General features: G+C 34.5%; 1 annotated feature.

Annotated features, from left to right (window-relative positions):
• Positions 5,406-5,700: a silencer, noted in NCBI's record as "tiled region #15127; HepG2 Repressive non-DNase unmatched - State 7:EnhWF". NCBI's record gives its function as "represses a minimal TATA promoter and a strong SV40 promoter by Sharpr-MPRA in HepG2 cells {active_cell/tissue: HepG2}" and the evidence as "EXISTENCE:reporter gene assay evidence [ECO:0000049][PMID:27701403]".

Genomic DNA, 5,930 nt, shown 5'->3' on the forward strand with positions numbered 1-5,930 from the left:
ATCGTTTTCTCCCCTCCTTTCCTCTCTCTCTTTATCCAGTAGTTTGCTTCACAATAAATTCTTCATTTAAATGTTGCTTTGTAGATGGTGGTTTCATACGAGCTCATTTATCCTCATAGAATATTTGATATCACAAAGGGAATGGGAGCTCTTTCATAATTTTTACAGTTTGACAAATTGAGAGATGTTAAATAACATATCAGAAACATATAACACATTTTGTTAAGATCAGATTTAAGTATCAGTTATCACAAATTACTTAGCAAAGAAAAAATAAATGAGCATTTATTGAATGAATAAATACTCAAAGCATGTATTAATATTCTCTAAAAATTACTTATTACAAAGACTATATATATCAAATCATATTTTTCTGTTGATGTCCATTACAAAATTGGAGATACATTCCAACAGAAAATACTTTTTGCAGCATTAGATATGAACACATACAAAAGAAAATTACTAACCTCATAAAATCTCACATCTAGAAGAAAAAACTCATCAGTATAGCATTAATAATAATATTAAAAACAAATCACAAGTTAGAAATACTAAAACAGAAAATCATAAATGATACCCTTCATTTTCTATCTTTGCGATTTCCTATACTGATAGCTCATGGTTTAGCTTTTAGTTTATTGCTTTGTTTTTATCCCAAACTAAATACTGTGTTTTGATTTTTCTTTTCAAATACGTAACAAATTACTTATTGTTTCAGTTTTCTATGGAAAAAAGAATATTTATACTTAATGCTTTCCCATAAGAGAAAAGATATTCAAACTCCCTTTATGGAGGTGTACTGCCAATTTTCTTTCTTTTATAAATAACATTATTGTAGAATAATATAAAAATGAAACATCACAGAATTTACATACAATCCTACCATCTTAACACTTTACTCCTTATCATTTTTATATACAGCTGCATGGCTATAAATATAAGGGTCTTGAATTTTATTTTAAAATTTAAATATAAGAATTTTTATATGCATAATTATAATTTTTAATGGTTGCATAATACTCTACCACATGATGTCCCAAATTGACTAAATCATTTTTCTACTTTCTCACAAAATCAGATTACGATTTTTTAAAATTGTGGTAAAATACACATAGAATAAAATTTGCTATCTTAACCATTTTTAAGTGTACGGTTTAATAAGTTTAAATTAATTTTAAGTTTTTTCAATAATACATGTAAAAATATCCTTTCTTGTCTACGTTCACATTGTTGTACAATCAATCTTTAGAACTCTTTTCATCTTGCAACCCTATCCACTGGACAATAACTTCTCATTACCCCCTTCCCCAAGCCCTTGGCAATCACCATTCCATTTTCTGTCTGTATGAATTTCAGTACTCTAGGTACCTCATATAATTGGAACCAAACAATATTTGTCTCTTTGTGAGTGGCTTATTTCATTTAGTATGATGTTTTCAAAGTTCATCCGTGTTGTAACATGTGTCAGAATCTCCTCCCTTGTAAAGGTTGAATAATATTCCATTGTATGTGTATACCACAATTTGTTTATCCATTCTTCTGCTGATGAACACTTGTGTTGTCTCTAATTTCGGCTATTGGAAATAGTCCTGCTATGAACATGGGTGTACCGATATCTCTTTGAGAACTTGCTTTCAATTTTTTGAGTATTTCCTTAGAACCAAAACTGATGAACCATATAGTAATTCTATTTTCAATTTTTAGAGGAATTACCATACCCTTTTCCTTAGAGGCTACACCATTTTATGTACCATGAACAGTGCACAAGAGTTCCAATTTCTTCACATTGTCAACAATACTTGTTATTTTATTTCTTTTTATTTTATTTTTCAAATATTAACCATTGTATTGAGTATGAAGTAGTGTCTCATTATGTTTTTAATTTGCATTTCCTTAATGATTCATGATATTGAGCTTCTTTTCACATGCTTATTGGCTATTGCCATGTTTTTTTTGTTTGTTTGGTTGGTTGGTTTTTTTGAAAACACTAAGTCTGTTCAAGTCCTTTGCCCATTGTTTAATCAAGTTATTTGTATTTGTGCTGTTGAGTTATGGGAGTTTTTATATATCTGGTTATTGGCACCTGGTCAACATTGTTTTTGCAGTGAATATCTATGTTAATACATTTTCCTCTTGGTTTGAATTATTATTTTAAGTACATTGCCAGGATTGTAATTTCTGGTTTGAAAAATATGTTTTGAAGATCTTGACTTATTTGCCAAATTGCTTCTTCAAAGAATTGTGTCTAATAACTTTAGCATTATGGAAATGTAACAGTGTACCTGTAATCCCAGAATTGTATTAGTGAAATTAATTTTAATTTTTTTCAATGACACATGTAAAAATGTCCTCCCTTATCTACATTTGCATGTCTTTGATTACTGGCACAATTTTAAAATTGAATACTGTTCCATGTGTTTTTGGTGTGACGACCTTCCCTTATTTATTCATGGTTTGATCACATACTTGTGTATTTAATTATTAGAATTTGGATATTTGTCTCATTACATAACAAATATACTGCAATATTGCCTCTGTGCATATTTTTAATTTTAGTTATATTTTAGTTTTTATCACATAAAGCTATATGTGCATGTGCATAATCATTAATTACATATTTCTAACTTTTGAAGTGTGGTACTAGATTGTTCCTCCTGCTGTATTTCTATGATTCATTTTTTTAAAGCAAGGTCAACCTGTACAGCTTTTTCAAGGAACCTCAGAATTGACATACGGGAGCTGTGAAATTTACACAATCTGCTGCTCTCCTGAATGGTCACCAAAATGTCAGTCTACGCTATTATGTGGCCAGCTGAACATATTGGCGGAGGAAAATGCATCTTTTGGAAACATAGCACCAATAAATAAAATGGTCTTCGGGGCAGTGAAAGTGTCTTGGTGTCAGCAGCAGCAATCAAAGCCATATTGGAAGCAACATGGCCAAGTAAAGAAAGTAAAGGGTCCTGGCTTCAGTTGGGGGAAAGGCTGAGAAATGCTGTCCCATGAATTTTAAAGGAATAATAACCTTAAGGTCTGTGACCATGAAGGGTCTTTACAGGGACCAGAATGAGTGGTGATATTAAATCTTGAGACCTTGGCCAAATTCCAACATGGGTAATTACATTCGGCCAATTTAAAATTCCCTGCGCAGTTTCTAATGCAGTCCCCTTCTGTGCTTCTCGATGCCAACCTACTGCATGCTGCTGTTCTGCATTGATAGGTAACTGTTGACCTCTAGCCTGAAGGAGGCCTTGAAGCCACGAGGGAAAAATTTATTATAAATGTCATTTCTGTCTTTTACTTCTAAAGAATCCCACTTCCAAACATGTAGGCTATTATAGAAAAGTCTAAGGATCTTTAAGTGTGGTGTATTTGGCATGGGTATTCTTCCATGACCCTACCACCCAGGTTTGGGTTGTTGGGGGAGATACAAAGAACTTTATACTTTATACAATCTGATTTCCAGTCCAACTCTTCTAGTTCTTATTACCCGTGTGACCTTAAGCAACTCTCCCTTATCAACTTTCAAGAACCTCTCATGGTTTCAGAAAACAAAACAATTCTTTAACATAGCCAGGCCCCTCATAACTAGCCTGCAATCAGTCTTTCCTACCTTATCTATACCTACTCCCAGGAATTGAGATTCAGTCAAAAAAACTAGACCATTTTCTGTTCCCTTTCTGTGCAAATTCATGCACTTTGCCTATACCCCTGTTGTTTCTACTGTCTAAGTGACTCACAACTTCCTCTCTTCTAGAAAAATCCTATCTGTCTCTCGATACTGATCCTAAATATCAACTCCATGAAACCTTTCCTTGATTTCTCAGCTGCAAATCGTGTTGTATTCCACAGTATAAATGTGAATGTCTATAGTTGTCATAGCTTTCGTTTTAGAAATTGATCTTTTTAAGTGTACGTTGCATTTCCTGCGGAACACAATACAGGATTTTGCATTTACTGTTTTAAAAACTGAATTGTTTTAATCTTTATTTTCATATAGTAGCCTATTTGAATGTAAAAGCAGGTCTGAAAAAGGAAGGAATATATAGTTCGCTTGAGGCTAATAAGTATACACAAACACAGTCATCTCTTAATTGTTCTTTCCTGTGGGATTTTGGTTATATTCAATAACTATATATGTGCAAGTTTTATCAAATGTATTTTAAATTTCATCACCTCTTGTGACAAAAATTGTGGCATTATTCTCTCTGATAAATACATTTTTAAAATTTTCTTTCTTTATTTATTTGAGACAAGGTCTTACTCTGTTACCCAGGCTACAGTGCAGTGGCATGATCTTGTCTTACTCCAACCTCTGCCTCCCGGGTTCAAGCGATTCTTGAGCCTCAGGCACCCAAGTAGCTGGGACTACAGGCGTGAGCCACTGTGCCCAACTGATCTTAGAAAGATTGTCCTGTGTATTAGGCCGTTCTTGCATTGTTGTAAAGCAATACCTGAGACTGGGTAATTTATAAGAAAAGAGGTTTAATTGGATCATGGTTCTGCAGGCTGTAAAAGCATGTCATCAGCACCTGGTTGGCTCCTGGTGAGGACCTCCGGAAGCTTACAGTCATGGAGGAAAGTGAATGGGGAACAGGTACCCCACAGGGTGAAAGCAGGAGAGGGAGAGAGTGGGGAGGGGGTAGTGGGGACGGAGGTGCCACACACTCTTGAATAACCAGATCTCACTAGAACTCACTATCACAAAGACAGCACCAAGCTATGAGGGATCTGACTCCATGATTCAAACACCTCCCATCAGACCCGACCTCCAGCATTGAGGAATACAAATTCAACATGAAATTTGGGTGGGGAAAAATATTCAAAGTATATCATCCTGGAAGACCACTAAGGAATCAGCAAGTCTAGTCATTCCCTCTATCAAATTTCAGTTTTAAGAGTCATGATAGGGATTGGGCACCTCTATTATTAAATACAAAACTAACCATACAAAAACCTATAAAAGGAAATTTGAAAAACAGAGGTGACTTGGATGTTTAGCAACGGCTGATGACTACTGTTCTAGGACAATACTGCAGTTCAGACCATTTTAAAGGTTAGGAAGCAGAAGCTCAGAAAGCAGAAATGATTGTGTCGAGAACAGACAGGGATTCTGCAGCCAAACCTAGACTGGAACTGAGGCCATCTAGCAGCAGTTAGGTGAATTAGCAGTTAGACAGACCCCTTTGTTCTCTATATCTCCACCCCTATTTACCATCTCCAGGGTTCTATATCTGGGCTATCTGAATGGCTATTTTAACTTTTACAGGTTACAATTATAAATATATTACAAACTAGTATGTTAATTATAGATCATCTTAAAAATTCGATGCAGAAGTCTCACTGCTGCTTTTCTTTTGCTGCTTGGAATTCAGTCAGCCAAATTTGCCTCAGGCCCAATAATCTCAAGGTTTACCTCAAGTGCTCTTACTTAATAAAGACAACCTCTCAGTTGAGGGAGCACACATGTTCCCCAAAGAGAAGCTATCATTCACCAACAAGCTCATTTTCTAGGCAAGTTATGACTCAATAGCTCATGAGTTTCCAGGAATAGTGCGTGCATGAATAAAAGCTACAAGGGGAAGTATTTAATGCCAACAGGAATAAAGATATTGACTATTATATTAAGTCAAAAGTATGCAGCCTGTAGCAGTATGATTTTCTTGATCTGAATGCTAGTTACATGGTTGTACTTCCTTTGTTAAAAGGCATCAAGCTCTACATATATGATTAGTGCAGTTTTATGTATTCATGTTACACCTCAATAAAATGTTGATTTAATATAATAAAAAATAATAATAACATAGCACTGCCTTACTTTGTCATTTAGAACAAGGCAGAGAGTGGCAAGTAATTACAAGAAATTATACCTGACAACCACGTCAAATAATTTAATGTTGTCACACTTTAAAATCCAGTTTTCTGAATTC

Source organism: Homo sapiens, chromosome 3, assembly GCF_000001405.40.
Source record: "Homo sapiens chromosome 3, GRCh38.p14 Primary Assembly".
Classification (NCBI taxonomy): domain Eukaryota; kingdom Metazoa; phylum Chordata; class Mammalia; order Primates; family Hominidae; genus Homo; species Homo sapiens.